At 38.2% G+C, this 19,730-nt stretch overlaps 1 long non-coding RNA gene across 1 annotated transcript; it reads right to left on the bottom strand.

The window, feature by feature from the left end:
• Positions 1 to 2,353: 2,353 nt before the first annotated feature.
• Positions 2,354 to 11,987, bottom strand: LOC102724612 (uncharacterized). The gene is made up of 4 exons (NR_125825.1): positions 11,839 to 11,987; positions 7,890 to 10,694; positions 5,334 to 5,466; positions 2,354 to 2,488 (listed from the first exon to the last, which is right to left on the bottom strand). It is a non-coding gene; the product is annotated as an uncharacterized LOC102724612 (long non-coding RNA).
• Positions 11,988 to 19,730: the final 7,743 nt, after the last annotated feature.

Raw genomic sequence — 19,730 nt, 5'->3', positions numbered from 1 at the left:
AGCTGAGATTACAGGCATCTGCCACCACGCCCAGCTAATTTTTGTATGTTTAGTAGAGACGGGATTTCACCATGTTGGCCAGGCTAGTCTCGAACTCCTGACCTCAGGTGATCCATCCGCCTTGGCCTCCCAAAGTGCTCATGTTACAGGCATGTGTTATTCCTTAGCTCTGGCACCTTAGCTGTAATGAGAAACCAGCAGGTGGCTTCCTAGCTGCAGTACATTTCTAAGTTGCACAACACCTCTGAGCATCAATTTTCTCATCTACAAATTGGAAATAAAAACCATAGTTAGTTGTTGTAAAGATTAAATAATACAGCGTTGTTAGAAAGATTAAATGAAATAATTTATATAAAGTGCTAAGCAGAGTTCCTACTACGTACTAGGTGCTAAATAAATACCAGTTATTATTAGAATTATTATGATAAAAGGCCCTTTCCATGGCGATGTAAATGCAATATAGGGACCCCATTGTGAAAGTCTAATCAGAGTTACCTGTTTAACCTCTTCCTATAGTCCACAATATCCTGCTTACCTCTGGCTTACTGCAAAACACCAGCAGAAGCAGAATGGACAAGTACAGAAAATTGATTAAGTCTGGACATAGAAGGTCTCCATACTGAAATACAGAAGAAAAACAAAGCAATGAAACTTTATCAAGGTAGTTAGAATCCAGGAAGTATGGGCATCCTTGAAGATGGCATTTGCAACATCTAAATCATCCAGTCTGCAGAAGTTGAATGCCCATGTGCCAAGATCTGTTCTGGGCACCGAAGACTCAGCAGTGAACAAAGAGTCAAGTTCCTCTTAACAAGCTTTTGTCCTAGTTGGGAGAGAAAAATTAGGTGGAGTTGAAGAAAGTACAGAACTGATGCAGTGCCCTCCCTCCCAGGATGCCTCAGAGCCTTCCCTGACTCCTCAGTGACCCAGTTGTACATATCAGTCAGCATCAAAGTGGCATTTATTTGATTTTCTCATATAAATTCCCAATCTCTTCCTCCTCCAATCCCACTGACACTACCGTCAGCCAGGTCTTCACCCTCACTTGCTTTGGTTACTAGACTAGCTCCTTAACTGGTCTACCTGCCACTGGTCTCAACAACCACTGAAATGCCCCTTTCTACTTCATCTGAAAAACTTGTACTCAACCTTCAAAACCCCAATTCACCTGCTCCATGGAGTCACGCTCAGAAACCTCCTCGCCTCACATTCCAACACTGGTAAAACTAATTATACTCACTTCATAATTTATTTGTGTTTCGCTTTATTGTTTTTAGTGTTTTATTTTATTTTGTTTTGTTTCAGAAGTGAGGTCATCTCAATATATTGCCCAGGCTGAACACTCAAATTTCTGAATTCAAGCCATCCTCCCACCTAGCCTCCCACATAGCTGAGACTACAGGCACACACCAGCATGTCAGGCCACATAATTTATTAATTTGGTTAAGCTTCCAGAATATCACTGCTATACTGTGACAGAATCCACTTATTCATTTGATAAATTGTTATTAAAATTTGTACCCTGGACAAGGTGCTGTGGTAGGCACTGGAGATGAAAGAGTGAATGAGACAGACTAAGCCCCAGTCTCAGGGACCCAGCAATTCTACCTCCTCGTCTTGAAGGTGGAGGTCATGTCTTGTAACCTGAGTGCTCCTGGCACGTGGCCTGTGTTTGGGGTTTATTGAATGTCAGCTACATCACCATAATTTGATCCAGAGAGAGGAGGAAAAGCTGACTTTGGCCAGGCCCAGCCCACCAGGTTCAATAACAGTATTAGGCAAATTGTTTGTCTACATCACCCAGTGCATTTCTCTAAAATGGAGAGGAGATAAATATACATCCTTAGTGTTTACCCCTTTATCCCACTGTTTTTAATTATATATGGGAAAAAACATCCAGTTCCCTTCATGGCAAGGGAACTTTTTTTTAATCTTCATTTTAATCTTTTTTTAAGGTAAAATCAGTCATTTTCTATCACCCACAAATATTTTCTTTAACAGTTATGCAAAAAAAAAAAAAAAAAAAAAACTTAGTAATTTGAATAAAACAATTCCTAAATTTTCCCCTCAGGAGAATTGTTATCATCAGAGCAGATTGAATAAGCATACAGATTGAGAGAAGATGCCAAGATCACAGGACTCTACAAGGTTTAAAATTGTTGCTCCTTCAACATAATGGCTTCCAGATAATCAGCATGGCCATCAGATACGAGAAAGAATGGGTGGTGCTGGTAGGGGAGGAGCTACTTTGAGGGATCTTATTATTAATGAAATGATTATTATTACTAAAATAAGGTGTAATAAGGCTATCTGAGTCAGCTTGGGCTGCCCTAACAAAATACTGTAGATGGGGTGGTTTAAACAACAGAAATGTATTTCACATGGTTCTAGAGGTTGGAAGCCCAAGATCAAGGATGCAGCAGATCCAGTGTCTGGTGAGGGCCCTCTTCCTGGTATGCAGATGGCTGTCTTTCTCCTTGCATCTTTCCTGGTGGAGAGAGATAATTGTTCATGCCTCTTCTGATAAGGGTACTAATCCCATTCATGAGAGCTCCATCCTCATAATCTAATTACCTACTAAAGGCCCCACCTCTTAATACCACCAATTGGAGTTTTAGGCTTCAACAAATGAATTTCGGTGGGACACAAACAGTTGGTCCACAGCAAGAATTATTAAATAAGCATAAGAAATTATAAAAGAACCATATAAAGTAAGAGGGTCAGCCTAAATAAAACTTCAAAGCAGTAGAATTATAATGTCTTACATTTTCACATGTGTCATTTTCTGCCAGGCCATCAGCTAAATGAGTGCCTGAACGGCTATAGGCCTTACCAGAACTGTGCTTTTGGCATGATAGAAATATTGAGGGAACTTATCAGTACTAGGCCTTTATTTTGCCTCTTCTATTTATTTTAGGATTAACTCATTCATTTCGTGCGTTTATTCAACATTGTTAATATACATCATGTGCCAGCCATTGTATCCTAGGCTTTGAGGATACAGAATAAAAATCGATCATCCCTCCCTGTTAGGAGCTCATAGTTTGGAGTGAAGACAGACAAGCAAACCCTCATAATCCAGGGTCACATAAGCTGTGCCAGAGTTAAGTGTTGAAGACTGGGATCTCTCAAGACAAGCACAGAGTTTGATGAGGGGAACAGGAAAGGATTCCTGGAAGAGGTGTGAGCAGCACTAAGGGAAATCCAGAGAGGAAGTATCAGGACAGTGAAGGTACAGAGTCCTAAGAAAACCTAAAGCACTTCAAGGGTGACACATTGTTGATACAGGTGTCAAGGGGGAAGAAGTGTTAGACAGAAGTAAGGGCTGCAGTGCCTGCATCACAGGGTTCCCCTTTATCAGGAGCCTTTACAGAAGGTCAGTCTTGATGTCAGGTAATCATAGGCCTCTCCTGGGCCATTCTGGGAACATGACCAAGCCTGCACACCCTCCTTGGTCAACAGTGCGGAGCGGTATTGGTATGCTCTATTCAGCTATGTCTTAGAACAAAGCAAGCATTCAACAAATTTCAGCTGAATGAAATTTTAAGATAAACATTTGGGATATTGGCCCTGGTTTCATCTACTTTTTCAGCATTATGTTTTTATCTGATGTTAGTGTTTTTATCTCTAAAAATCTTTGAAGGAAAGTGGATTATAAATAAGTTAGGTAAGTGCATTTTTAAAATACATCTTGCTTTATCTTCACGACTCCATTGGTAAGTAAAAAACAATACTAAAGAGCCATTTTAAAAATAAGAAAATTAAGGACTTGTCATTCTGGCCAAGAAGGAGTAGCAAAGACTGGTTTTACCTGAAAGGCTTCCTGGCCAGAACAACAAAAATACTGGAGGAAATGTATGAAACAACAGTTTTGAAGACACTGGATATCGAGTCATAAAGGCTAGGAATCCCTGAAGGGCAGAAAGCAAATAAAAAACCCATCACTGTTCAAGATTCTTCCTCAAGAGAGGCTTCCAGGTATGGAGAAGAGAAGGGGAGTCAGGCAGAACCCAGTGTCTCTCTGAGGTAAACAGTTGAAGGTGAGAGTCAAGGGAATAAGTTTGAAGTTTGAAGAACAGAGTACTGGAGAGGAGAGAGTTATACAGAGAGAGAACTCCAGTGATCTGCAGAGGGGCTCCCCTGAGTATTCAGCAAAGCACTGATCAGCTCATGTATGTGAGGAAAGTATGCTAGGCCAGAGATAGAACCATCTGAGAGGATTAGAGGGAAAATTACCCAGAGCTTACACAGGGTCAAGAATGGTGCCTTCCCACCCACCCTACCCCCACTTCCCCCAGTCAGACTGGAAATCCTCATGATTCACAGAGCATTAGATAAAGCACCCTGAAGGGTCTTGCCTCACAAACAGGGCGAAATTAATGCTAGATTAATTGCAGTTCTAGACTCACCTAACAAAGCTTAAAAGCAATACTTGAAAGGATCCCACCCAGTTTTAAATAACTTAAAGGCATCCCAGAACAAAGCTCAAGAAGATCTGTGGGACGAAAAACCTACTCAGGACCCAATAAGATAAAATTCACACCCTGTCAAAAATTATCAGGCATGAAAAAAAGCTAGAAAATACAATTGATAATGAGGAGAAAAATCAACAAATCAAAGAGACCAAGAACTGACATATGTTAGAGAATTAGTAGACAAGGACATGAAATCAGTTATTATAACTCTATTCCATATGTTCCAAAAGCTAGAGGAATAAAGGCATGGAAGAGGTACAAAAAAAACCCCATATCCAACACCTGGAGGTGAAAACTACGATGTCTGAGATGAAAAATATACTTGATGAGATTAAGAGCAGATTTGAACGAATATGAGTAGAGCACCAGTGAGGTCTGAAACACCTTCAGATGGCCCACTGGAGGGGTGGGATAGGCCTAATGAAATTGGAGTTCTCAAAGGAGAGGAAAGAGAGTAGGGGACAGAGGAAATACTTAGTTGCAATGAAACCAGCAAGAAACATGGAGAAAACACCAAGGGATATCTTAAATTACTAACAACAATGAAACAAAAACTCAGCATATCCCTAACTTCCTCTTCATTATATAAAAAGTGGGTCTATTCACAATGGTCAGACTTTATTTATATTTAAAGAGGTTATAGAAATGGATTGGCAAGTTATGGACTGGGAGTGAAAGAAGGAGGAGAAAAAACTATCCAGGCATGAAGGCAGAGATGCAACCATGGAATCTTTAATAAAATTTTCTAACACTTCATGCACCTGACCAGTGTCACCAAGACCATGCTTCCGAGGTCAGTGAGGACGCCCAACGTCACAGAGCATGGAGCCAGCACTTTCGTTCAGGTCACTGTCTTACCTACTTTCTTTAGTCTGCCTTCTTCCTCTCAGGCCTTAATTTTTGACTTCTTGGAATTATTGCCTTGGTCAGTGTTTTTCTTCTTATTCTTTTTCAGTCACTGGATTTTCTCTTGCTCTGGAAAAAAAAAATGCTGTGGGGGAGGGTGGGATATGTGTCATTTCCAAAGCTTATAAGACAAAGACAATTATCAATTATATTTCCTTTTGCTCATTTTGTATTTGTAAAGTAGAAATTCCAGCTACTGTTTCATCACTTATCACTCATACACTGGAAAATGCTCATTTATTCATTATTTACATGATGAGTATCCTTGTTCATTTGTTTTTTCTTAAGGAATCTTTTCATTTCTTAGCTTGATTTTGCATCTGTGATTTCTTACATTTCCATCTTAAATAAAAATAAAAAGAACTATTGGTAGAAATCTAGAATGATATTTATTATCAAGTTAAGTATACTTTTAGGAGTTTCCCTGCCTGCCCTCCCTCTCCACTCCACATACACCTAAATATTGTTTTCACTGAAGTTGAAATTCTTAAAATATAATCAAGATTTTACCTAACTAAAAATTATTCTATACCCTATTATACACAAACATCAAGCAAGACCTACCGGAGGATATAAAAACAAGTAACATTGACACTTCCCATGGAGAGTCCACAATCTAGAAGCAGATTTAGGCAAGACAAAACTAAACAAAATTCAAGCCAAACCATTCTAAGTACTTCCTTATTAATGGGTATTTTTCTGAATAGTTTGTTCAGATACCAAAACAAAACAAAACAAAAACACTTCAAGTTACAAAATTCTTGTTCTTTGTTCAAAATCAATTCAACATTAGTTGAGGCAGTATTCAGGCCTGGACTCATGAAATCCAACATGAATGTATGATTTTAAATAGTGCTCTTAAAGTTTTAGTCTTAACTAGTATTATTGTATGTAAACATACACCAAAAATACATAAAAATTATTAGGGCTATATTAAGCTTATGAAACTTAGAAACATGCTACAAGTCAGTGGGCCAAAAAAAATGAGCATCTTATAGCCTAGAAGTTTTGACATCCGGAAACAAACCTTGCTTTAAGCAATACGGGCACTACTTGTATATCTGCTTATCTTCTTCTACTTACAAAATAATTGCTAGAAATGGTTGTGTCTAACAAATATTATTATACTTGTTCATAATACATTATTCATAGTGATGTATAGTCTTGACATAATTGTAACTATGAAAGGCAGACCATGCAGTGAAATATACAACAGTTTGCCTTACAACTCTTTCTTGACCTCCTCACTTTCCCAAAAATTGCAAAGGGGAAGTAAATAGCTATAGTGCTGCACTAACTGAATATAGAAAAAGAGAAAGATGCCAAGGAGAACTATTAAATTTATTTTATAATTATTTTTTCTTTCCAATTCTCTGGACCAGCCACAGCCAGATCCATCATGCAGAAATCAGAAACTGTGGTTCAGATGACCGAGCAATCAGGGTGGCAGGGCTGCCCGTCCATTTGTCAGACTCAGCCAGACAAGGACAGAGCCTAAAGGAGCTAAGTGGAAGAGTGAGCACGCGTTATGTTCTCTGGCCTTGGCAATGGAGGTAGAATGTCAATGGGCAAATGGATGTCTGGGAGCAATGGGAAAAGAGAAGCACCTGAGTCTGGGAAAGGAGCCATGAACAGTGGGCTAAGTGAAAAGTGCCTGGGGACATTTGTGTGTTATTTCTGGAAGAAAAAATAAAAAGCTACTTGCAGCAAAATAGCTTTATTTCCATTTCTGAACTGTTTTATAGGTGATTTCCATAGAAAGACTTTTCCCCTCTAAACAATCCAGCATACATACTCTGAGGATTTTCTCTTTTCTATCCTAACAGCAGTGTTCATATCCTAACACTCTTGCAGTTAAAAGTGCTCTACTCTGCTTCATCATCTACACCTCCTGTCTTTCCTTTGTTATAAATGCTCTGCCTAGCAAGACAAAAGATTCTTTCTAGAAATAGCAAAGAGATGAAAGTGGAGGAATGAGGGAAGGAAGGAGTTTGGGAGGGGAGGAAAGAGGAGAAGAAGAATGAAGGGATACAGGAGGAGGATAAAGCAGGAAGGCGTGGCCTATGGCATCTTTGTTGGTCTATTGTTGCCTTTCTTTCTCTGGGCTGGCCTTGCTGATAGCTGCAGCCTAGGTAGGTGACTGCTGCTGCTGCTGCTGCTGCTGCTTCAGGTGCTCTTCACCATTGTGATGCATTAATGAAGTGGCGCTGCCCCGTCAGACCTCATCAGCAGTCCTGTGCAGGCAGAATGAAATCACTCCTATTGACCCCCTGGCATATTTATAGCCTCTCTCTTTCTGCTGAGACTGGTAGTTTTCACCTTCCCTTCCCTGTGTTGTGTTTATTCAGCAGCACGCTAAATCACACCCGGGCACAAGTGGAGCATTCATCAGGAACCACGAGCCCCTCTTTCAGTCTGCCAAACCTATCCAATTACTGGGGCTGGAAGAGCCTGCACAAACCCTTCTGCCAGGCAAGTTCTCTTGTTTGCACCCTCTAAAAATAATACCTTCTGAGCTCCGCACGCTTCCCCATCCAATCTTCACATTGACTTTGAACTGGCAGAGCACTCATTTATTCTTCATTGGCTTTGTCTCCGAGATCCCCCTTTTCTTCTTAAACAATGAGAAAGAGATGCTGCATTTCTTTCTGGAGGGGATGGGAGAGGATGTGGGTAGATCCACTTCCCATTCTTTTCTCTATTTTCTTGGCTACCTCTTCAGATGTGCAAGTTGTACAGTCAGGTTCTTCTGAAGGACAGCTGCACTCTGGTCCCATGCTGCCCTCTGTCTTTCTGTTTCTTGCTAAAGATGTTACAGATTTCTTTAACAAGCAAGCTGGGAGAAACAGTTAAAATTACTGGAAAAATTGTGTCACTTCGATTGAAAGTCATAAGAGCTACATCCAGGCATTCCTTTAAAAGTTGACAGATGATAGTAAATTGTTTAAACGTATGTCTCTCTTAACATATATATATTAATTTGTTAGGAGTTTTGGTTTTTTACCAATATTTTTACATTTTCTACTTTTCTTAATGTATCCTAGTTTTTAGATTAGAAAAAAAGCAAAGATTAATAGTATTAGAGCTAAATCTGTGGCTTGCAATGCTTTCTGAAGCTTATTACAATGGAATATTTATGATTTAGGATTTTTTGAAAATTATTAGAGAGTTGTATAACAGCAACAAAACCTACCTGGGACTCAGAAAACCCAGATTCTTGTCCCAGCATCTTTCCCTCTAACTAGAATTGTGACCTTGTAAGTCATTAATCACTCTGGGCTTTAGCTCCCTTATCTATGGTTCTGTCTAGAGCTAACACATCCATACTTACAAGCATAGGACCGAACAAAGGAAGCCAGACCAAATGATCATTTGATTAATAACCAAGCTATTTATGAGACCTGGGACAAAGGTTTATTACTTCCCTTATCCCCAGAGACTAATGCATAATAGCTGGTAAAGCCACAGGAGTAACACACAAAGCATACGGAAGACACCTAGATCAAGCATCAATCAACCTTACAGGGTGTGCTGGTACATACTTAACGAGTTCTAAAAAAAAAAAAATTAAACTTATTTGTAGCCTTTGCCAATTTCTGTGATGTAAATATCCTCCACCGTGGTAAATTTCAGCTACCATCTTGATTTCACTGATGGAAGAGCTAGAAAAAAATGCTAAATAAATTCTTAAGAGCTCATACAAGGGCACACCCCACCTCCTTCCAGAGATCAATTGGGCTTTGAGTGGGAAATGATAGAATTTCATTGACAGCCAGAGATATAAGATGAAGACAATAAAGAAAAGGAGCTTATCTTAATAGAGTTGTTTCGAATACTTCTCAAAAATGTCATAGCAATATCCCTAACAACATTGAAAAAGGAGTGGGAAGTATTTTGATGCCTCCAATCTGTCTGGATATGTAATCCAAAGACAACTTAGAAGAAAATTTATTTAAAATTTCAAAGTAAATTTAAAATGTAAACTTTGCATTCTATTTTGGGGATATCTGGGATGATTTTAATACAAAAATCATATAAAAATAATAAAATCATATAAACATTCTTTGCAAATTGGAAAAAAAGCTTTCATATACTCCTAGCATACCAACATGTAATTTCAATAAAAGACTGTAAACTCAAACCACAATTTGAAGGATTTAGAATGGTTTTTCCCATAAAGGAAAGAAGAGTGGAAGGAAAGGAGAGAAGGAAGGGAGGAAAGAAGAGAGATGGGAAGGGAGGGAGGCAGGCAAAACAAACTATATAAAAACAGTATCACATGGAAGGAGAGATGATTAGAAAGGTAGATGCCATAATTGGGAAATTCTTGTTATCACTAAGCTCACCATCACCCTCCATGGCAAAAAGGTTCCAAATTTCTGAGCTCACTGGCTCACTCATGAACACTTTTTCATTTAAGTTATTGCCTATTTAGGCAAAATTTGAAGAACAACAGAGGAGGTATTATAAAAGCCACCAAAATGACTGTGTTAACGGGAGTAAGTTGAGAGACCACAATGATAGTGCGAATCAAAAACAGACATAATGAATTATGAGGAGATAAGAGCTTTAGTTTAGAAGAAATTAATACCCTAATGGCATGAATATGCTTAGAGAGGGAAAATGAGCACTAAGCTAGAGGCCTTGCTGCCTCAATTAGAAAGGGAATATTTTAAATAATTTGGACGAATGGATCAAAATTTTTCTGAATTGATGTTGGACCATTCACTTTAATCTCATAAATATTCATGTCACATCTGTGAGTACAAAATCCCAAGTGGAACAGAAATTGATGTAAGAAAAGGGGCAGGCACAGGAAGTGTGGTCAAAAATAAAGATAAGATCATCACCCTAAAGAAGGTAAGGATATAACAAGGGTTGATAAGCTGCTATCTAAAGTACAAGGACGAATGACAGCTATGATAAAAGGTAAAAATACAGTGCTTGAGTAATAAAATCCAGTGGAGAATTAGGAAATGCACTGTGACCTGATTCTATTTCTATTCATAAATTCCTTTTTTTCTTGTAAGTAGTATATTTTGCCTATGCAGGAGAAAGGTAGGCATTTTTATTTCAACTAGATACATTCAGCTTCACCACATTTTTTCTTTTCTCAAGTATCATTTAGCCATGAAAAAAGAACTTTCTGTCTTACCAGCTAAGTCAAAAGGAGTTTACAAATTGCCTACCCTTCTGAAGACCTTGCATACCAATTCTTAGCGATGAGCTCACAGAGTTGTGTGGTCCGAAAACAGTTTCATATACTTCCCAATGCTGAAGTGAAGACTTGACTTTCAGGTTCCTGACATGAGTCTACAAATATATATGTTGAAAACATATTTTTTTCCACTGAGGGACATAATCCAGAAATTCACCTTAAAAAAACTGTTAATGTCCTATTGAAATTTTCTGTAATTTTAAATTTTAATAATGCAATTCCAGTGCTTATTACTCAAAAATAGAGGAGCATATGGATGCTGCCAAAAAGCAAAAATAAAAAACAGTCACCACCTGGTCCACAAGTTGGTTTACCTTTATGTCACTCAATGCCTTACACCTCATAGAAATCTAATAAATTTGATTAGTTAGTCAGGTGTATAGCTAAACATCCAAATACGTTAAAATTTCAGGCAATGAAATTTTTAGCTTTCTTATAACATTTTCTTGGCTCCACAGCTAAGGGCCCCATTCCAACCCACCTCAAGATGTAAAGCCAAGGATAGACAGTTTATCACCCCTCTCAAAACTTCCCCTAAGGTGAGGTTGTGATGGTTAACAAGTAAAATTCTGTAATACACTGAAACCATCCTTAAGCACTATATAAGTATGACCTTTTATTATAGCCCTGTTCCAATCTGCAACTCCATAGCTTTCTTTTCCCCTAGTTGTATATTTCCTCAAAAATGGACGTTGCTCTAGTTAGGCTACTAATGAAAGATTTGTTTACATTTGCAGGCCTTGCAAAATTCTAAAGAACAAAGTCCAACCATCCAAGCAATATTTTAAAGAATGAGATCTGTGTTAACACTTAAAGACATTTTCCACGTTGACCTCATGAACCCCAAAAGAAGGATGAAAGAAGTCTGGAATTAATGAATTTAGGGAACCTGTAAAACTCCAAAAATGTTTAATGCAAAAATGTGATATTTTTGGTAGGAAATTTCCATTGCTTTCAACAGATTTGGGAAGGGACCCAAAAGATGACTAAAAGCATCTGCATTTTAACCAAAATATCATTGATCTTACAATTCAAATGGAGCTTAATTTGGGTATTTTCTAATTTTTTTTTCCTGAAACTTACCCCTAGTCTTTATGTGGTTGCCAATACTTTATGTTGTATGGAAATTATTATATTTATACATCTTAAATTTTAACTTTTAGTTAAAACATACAAACTATTATCAAACCCTATCCTAAATTTCAATTTTATTTATACTATTTTGGACTTAATACTTACTACCATTTAGAATTTTTGTGATTCCCCTCTATACTTCAAATTTTTCTTTCTTTCTTTCTTTCTTTTTTTGAGACATAGTCTCACTCTGTCACCCAGGCTGGAGTGCAGTGGCATGATCTCAGCTCACTGCAACCTCCACCTCCAGAGTTCAAGCAATTCTCTGCCTCAGTCTCATGAATAGCTGGGATTACAGGCACCCGCCACCATGCCCAGCTAATTTTTGCATTATGACGTAACACATCAAATGCATGACCTGCTGACACAGTGGAAATGCAAAGGTGATTTTCTTCCCTTTGCCTTCCCTTTTATGCTCTCTATCCCATAAGAAATATTATTATGTTGAAAATAGCACTAAGTCAAAATCAATGTAATCACCTCTGGTTTTATTCACTATATTCAGAAGCATAATTTCCACGGAGGAAGAATAACTGGTAAAAGTAAATAAATAGTCAGCTTTTGATGTTTCTCTTAAATGCAGTAATTTGTTCTATAATGAATTCGTGTTCATAAAAAAATTTAAACCCTACATAGAGATACAGTTAGAAATTGTTAGTGTCATATTACTGAAAATGACCATATTCTCAGACAATTATTTTATTTGTGTGCCCTAAGTGAAAATTTTTACACTTTTATTTGAAAAGCTTTTTACATAAATTCATTTCTTTCTCACTGATGCTCTTTTTTTAGAAATACATTTTTTTACAAAAACACTTTCAAAAATATTTCTAACATTGCAGTGTTGGATAATACACATGGAAAAGAATGCTAGTGATGCAAAGGCTTCATTTGTTGTTTTAAATTCAACTCTTACCTCCTCAGAAACAAACTTTTAAAGTTGTCTCATGGCTTATATCTAAAAAGAAAAACTCATTATTTAAAAATTAGAAACTATCAACAGCAGTCTCTTCAATAAGACAAGGAATAAAAACTGGTTTCTAATGACTGCAATGATACAGATTTTGAGTTAGCCCAAAGGTAAAGTTCGGATCTCTGGTTTCGGATTACACAGACATTAGATTTATTGATGTTATGAAATAGTTGCCTGTGTCATTTACATTTGGGGACCTAGTAATAGCATTTTATTGCTACCTAAGACAAGACCTGCACGTGCATGTTTTTCCAATCTCACAATGAATGAGGATCTGAGTTAAAGCACCTGGGGAGCAAACGAAAGGATAATAAAGCATCTTATGGGGGTCCTCAAGGGACTAATAACTCCAGGTGGTCTTAGAAATCATGGAGAATATCCCATCAGGAGCTCTTGGGAGGAAGCCAGGGATATGCAGCTGGTACAGCGTTCAAGTCCTCTTCACAAGCTGCCTCAATACACACCCTTGTCACTCCTCGGGGCAGCCCTGCAGTGAGCAATAATTACATCACATTCTATAGATTATCTCTCTCCAAGTAATTTCTCAAATGTTCCCGTTAAGTTATATTTTGAAAGTCACTGACAACCAGCTAGGGAAAGACAATGAGAAGTGCAACTGGTAAGCACAGGGACTAAAATTAATCAGAGGCCATTGAGAACCCCTCACCCATCCCGCCCCATCCTTCTCTTTCCTTTCTCTGGCCTTCAGGGACAAAAGGCTTTGGAGGCTTTTAGAAACTGGAGAATGCAAAAGAACCAAGCAGGAGTTCTCCTCAACTCCTATGTTCACACACTGAATTCTGGTTTTGCCCCTTAACAACTGTGTGTCCATTAGATTGTGTTTCTTTAGGTCTCAGTTTAACGTCCAAGGAAACAAGGAAAAGACCCACTTTACAGACTCATAGCTGTTGATATGACTCAATGAAATAAAGCACAGAAGGTGCCTGGGCCAAATGCCTGCACATGGTATGCAACCGAGAAATTATCGTGTGAATAGTTAGAAGTAATTGAGTAGCTTATCCCTGCCAGGCACTGTGTCAACTTTTTCAACCATCGTACAGGGAGCATCGAGGGGCTTGTAGTTGTGTCCAAAATTCAGCCTTCAGAATCCAAAACATTAAAATGCCTGCCAGTTCCGCCTTACACTTACTCTTTGACTAGACAATTGTTGAGCACTTTTTATCTGTCAAGCTGCACATTTGAGACTGGAGATACAAAAACTTAACAAAATTACCTTCATATTTCACAATTGAATGAGAGACATATGTATACTAACTTTAAACACTAACTGCAAAAAGCAATCATGAATAGAGAAAAGATTATTAAAGATGAACCTTATAAAAATTTTCTCAAATGTGAATGTTTTTGTTTTTAAATGAATTTACTCCCATGTTTACTATTCTATTCTTTAACACATAATTCTGTTAAGGGGCTGCATTTTGCCACCTCTACAAATGGTGTTTACATTGGAACAAAGTGAAAAATGACAGACCCAAGCAGTATCAATCAGTCCTAGATGCTGTGATGCATCATTTCCAGCATTTCATAAGTTTGATAAGGTCCCTCAATTTTTATGGTAGGCTAAGGATATGGAACTGTTAATAGGGCAACAACAAGAAGAAAAACATTCCCCCCACCCCCGTTGCCACCGAACCCTGCCAACACTAGCTTTTGAAGACAGTCACTGCTGAAGCCTCACAGTACTGACTCAGGTACCTGTGAAAACAGAAGTAGAAAAAACAAAAATTGGAGGTGGTGTAGCTTTAGGAAAATGTAGGAGAGGATTGGGAGAGAGAAACTGCTCCAGCCTTATCCCAGGCCAAGGTAAGTCACTACCTCCATGCCTGCAGAAGCCTGCCTGGGCTTCCACTACAGCTTCCCCCAGCTCTGCACAAAGGGAAGCTAAGGGCTTAGTCCAGAAGTTCAGCTCAAGCTCAACTCTGAATATGCGTCTCAGCATGAGTTACATATCTAATGAGGTACATATCTAATAAGTAGCCAGCATTTAAAATCAAAAACAGCTTCGTTAAATGCTTATGATTGTGTGATATAAATGTTTACTCAGCACACAGCATCGAATTTATCCTCAGAGCAAGGCAATGACCTGCCAGGAATGACACGATTTAAACTGTTTCTTAGGCCCAAGTAGTGTTTGCAAACGCTTTAGAGACTTCCTTATAAATGTAAGCTGGAAAGCCAAGCTAAGCCTTTGTTTATAGCATCTGAAATCTTAGAAAATATTCTAGCCTGCGAATTATGAATTAGCAAGATTTCATTATTTTTCCTGAAGGAAATGGGAGGCACTGGCCCTGCCGAAAACCCAAACAAGTCCTTAGAACTATGGCATTAAAAAGCCTCTCAGTATTTACAGGCCTATATGTGGGGAAAGGTCAAGGCCTTAAAGAAGCACATCATTTAAAAGAAAAAAGCAGAGAGAACATCAGCATTTTCCTCTGAAAAGTCTACACTTTTCCCCTGGAAAAGGAGCAATTATCTGAGCCACACAAGATGTAGCAATGTTCTACTTGCCCTTCTAGATACAGAAAATAAATGTATTTCAATGTGAGATCTATCTTCAGTAACCTTTCCCTGCCCTGTTTAGCACCTTCGGCCATCTCTTGGAACCCCCTGAGTCTCTAGTACTATTTTCATGCCTTAAAATCAGACCTTTTCCCTCACCTCCTTCCCGTCCACACTTTCTTTTGTCCAGTTTGCTATTTCAAATGAGTTCATAATAAAGAGGAGAAATCCCTGGACTTGAGATCAGAGGTCCTGACTTTGAGTGGTTTGAATTCATGGAAGGAGTCTAAGCATCAGTATTTTTAAAAACTTCCCAAGCATTCTGATGTGAAGTTAGAATTGAGAAGTAACTTGCTGTTAACTGATGATATTAATACTCAACTAGAACGCCTCCTAGTAAGCAAGTGGATAAACTCCTGTTTTTCATTAATATAAATTTATTGCGATACCCAATATAAAAAAGAATTGTCTAAGGATGAATGTTTGGGCTCTCTGGCAAGCTAGTGAGAAAGCAATCTTGTGTGTCAGTGAGTCTTCTCAAATCTCCAACTCTGCCTACCCAGAAACTGGTCCTAACTCAGACAATACTTGTTCTTCCTTTTGCTGCCAGTAAGGGATACTAAGGGACAGCACGAGATAATCAAAATGCCACAGGGTTCATTCATTTAATTGTATTCATGGTTGAACTCAAGCATGATCTCATAAGTGTAGACCTTTTCCAATTTCCTAGGAAACAGAGTCTGGTAAACTGTATTTTTCCCTGAAAGAAGGACATTTTTGTTTTTCAGAGGAGAAAAATATAACCCAACATGCAAAACAATATGCTTAAATAAAAAGGTAAACCTACTCATATCTCCTATGTAAAGCCCAAAGAACTGTTTGAGGGGAGATCAGGAAGCATGTAAGTTTGCTGATATCATATCTTATCAATAAAAATCAATCCAGGCAAATATATTACCAAACCATTTCTGGAAAGCAGCTGTCTTCTCCCCAAATTAAGAGTAAGCTTCCAGCCAGTCATTTGGATAACATTCATTAAAAAGCATACTCTCACCTTCACTTCCAGATGAACCTTCTTGCTGTGATTCATAAACATGGCTGTACCTCTAAATAGACTGGGACTTCCTTTTGGTATGTTAACAATATTTACTAAATAATATTTAAGGGTGGCTCCTGGGAATTCATATTATTGAAAAATTTCTTGTATAAAGATGGATTATTCAATAAATAGGGTTGGGATAACTAGAAGTTCTGATCCAAAAAAATAAGTTGGATCTGTCCCTCACACATTAAAACAGGATAAAGTTTAAATGGATCACAAACTAAAAATAAATAAGTAAAACGATAAATGAACAAGAAAGAAACTATCATAAAAAATTTTTTGTCACCTCTGAATAAAAACAGCTAGAACACATGACAGAAAAGATAAATTCAGCAATGTAAAAACTATATATTAAAAATAATAACTATATATTTATATATGTTACAAATACATAAATGTATATCTTGTGTGTATTTGTGTGTGTGTGTGTGTGTGTGTATATATATATATATATATATATATATATATAAAAAATAAGTAAAGTCAAAAGTTAAACACCAAACTGGAAAAAAGCATAACTTATATGACACTTAAAATGTTGATTTTCTGGCTGGGCATGGTGGCTCACGCCTGTAAGCCCAGCACTTTGGGAGGCCAAGGCAGGCAGATCACAAGATCAGGAGTTCGAGACCAGCCTGGCCAATATGGCGAAACCTCATTTCTACTAAAAATACAAAAATTAGCCAGGCATGGTGGCAGGCACCTGTAGTCCCAGGTACTCGGGAGGCTGAGCAGGAGAATCACTTGAACCCTGGAGGTGGAAGTTCCAGTGAGCCAAGATCATGCCACTACACTCCAGCCTGGGCGACAAAGCGAGACTCTGTCTCAAACAAAAACAAAAACAAAAACAAAAACAAAAAACTGATTTTCTTAATGTAAAGGATTCCAACAAATCAATATGGAGAATTCTTGGAGAGAAAGAGAAAGACATGTTGGAGAGGGTAGGCAGGACAATTTAACATTACCCATGTCACTCCTTACCCAACTCCAGGCAGCACAGCATGGAGAGAGGTACCATCCACTTACGGAAGAGAGAGGAAAGTAAAGTGTAGGACTTTGCACCAGCCTCAAATACTGTCTCACCATAGTAAAACTCAGTACTACGAGATCCCCACAGCCCCTGACTCCAAGCTGGTACACATGGACTGAGTCTCTAGACTTGCTCTGGCACCAGAGGGGAACCCATAGTACCTACAAAATAAACTTAAGTTCCAGCTCGCATCAATGCCAGCCAACTTTAGTGACCTTGGGCTCCAAATAACTAACCCACGGTGACAGGCAGAACTCGGCAGCTGGGGGCTTGGCTTCCAGACCAGTGCTATGCCAGCTTCAGTGGCCAGAGAATTCCAGTCGAGCAATGCAACCAGCCATAATGGTCCTGGACTTAGGATACCCTCTAAAGCTGAAATTGCTCCAGCAGGCACAGGCTCAGTCACCGCAACAAATGACCTGCCTAGAATTTCTGGACAGGTTTACTGTTGAAGGATATTCCCAGGCAAAGCCAGACTGCGAAGGCTGGAGTAAGTGCCTACTTCTTCAATGTGCATTCATTAACCTACAACAAGGATCAAGAACATTCAAGGAAGCATGACATCATCAATTGGGCAAAATAAGATGTCATCATAAAGAGGTGGAGATATATGAACTCTCTAACAAAGAATTCAAAATAGCTGTTTTAAGGAAGCTCAAAGAACTTCAGTAATATAGAGAAACAATTCAGAAATTCATCAGATACTGAAACAATTTTAAAAATCAAATTATCGAGCTAAAATAATATAATGAATAAAATTAAAAATGAAATAGCATCAACTGCAGAGTTGATCAAGCAAAAGAATATGTAAACTCAGAAGGGCTATGTGAAAATATATGGTCAAAAGAGAAAAGAGTGAAAAGAAATGAAGAAAGCTTACAGGATTTATGGGGCAGCATCAAAAGTCATTGGTGTTTGAGAAGGAGGAGAGAAAGATAAAATGGTAGGAAGCTTAATTGAAGAAATAATAGCAGAAAACTTTCCAGATCCAGAGAAAGACATTGATATCAATGTACAGGAAGGTCAAAGGTCACCAATCAGATTCAATCCAAATAACATTACCCTATGACATATTATTCATCAAACTATCAAAGATCAAAGACAAAAAGATGATCCTGAAAGTAGCAAGAGAAAAAAAACACATATAAGGAAGTTCTTATAAGGCTACAGAGGATTTCTCAGCAGAGACCTTACAGGGCAAGAGAAAGTGGGATATTTTAGAGTGCCGAAGGAACAAATTGCCAACCAAAAATACTGTATCTAGCAGAGCTGTTCTTCAGAGATAAAGACTTTCCCAGCCAGACAAAAACTGAAGAAGTTCATTACCACTAGACATGTCTTACAAGAAATGATACAGGAAGTACTTCAAGCTGAAGAAAGGGCACCAGTGAGTAACATGAAAGCATCTGAAAGTAGAAAACTCACTGATGAAAGTAAATGCAGTCAGTCTTTTGTATTTGTGGATTCCCCCTTCACAAATTCAACCAACTGTTGATCAAAATATAGTGTTCATGTAATACAGAATCCACCAATACAGAGGGACAATGTTTTGCATCCGTGGGTTCTGCATCCCACGTGACTCCAGGACTTGAGCATCCCTGGATTTTGGTATCCACGGGGGGCTTATGGAACCAATTTACCGCAGATACTAAAGGTTGACTGTATGCAGTCAAATTCAGAATACTTTAATAATGTAATGGTGTTATGTAAATCATTTGTATCTTTAGTACAAAAATTAAAAGACAAAACTATTAAAAACAATAATTATTGATAATTTGCTAAGGGATATGGAATATAAAAAGATGTAAATTGTGATATTAAAAATACAAAATGTGAGGAAAAGTGGAGTTGAAGTGTAGAATCCTTTTGGAAACAAAGTTAAGTTGTTATCTTAGTTTCATGTTGCTATAACAGAATAACTGTGATGGGTCTTTTATAAAGAAAAAAGTTTTATTTAGCTCATAGTTCAGCAGGCTGTGGAGCTCAAGGTTATGGCCTTGGCTTCTGGTGAGGGCTTTTGTGCTGCATCATAACATGGTGGAGAAAGTCAAAGGGGATGTGGACATGTGCAATGAGAAGCATCCTGGCTTTTTAACAACCAACTCTCGCAATAACTAATCCATTTCCACTGGAACTAATCCAGTCTTGCCAGAGCAATAATTCACTATGGTGAGAATGGCACTGTGCCGTTCATGAGGGATCTATCCCAATGACTAAAACACCTCCTGCTAGACCCAGTGGGCCCACCTGTCAACATGGCCACATTGGGCATTAAACTTCAACAGGAGTTTGGGTGGGAAAAAAACTCAAACCATATCCAAACCATAGCAGTTGTTATCAGCTTAAAAACAGCCTATTATAACTATAGGATG

The sequence above is a fragment of the Homo sapiens genome, chromosome 8 (assembly GCF_000001405.40).
Source record: "Homo sapiens chromosome 8, GRCh38.p14 Primary Assembly".
NCBI classification, from domain to species: domain Eukaryota; kingdom Metazoa; phylum Chordata; class Mammalia; order Primates; family Hominidae; genus Homo; species Homo sapiens.
Note: the sequence above shows the minus strand (reverse complement) of the source record. Positions and strands in the feature narration are given on the sequence as shown.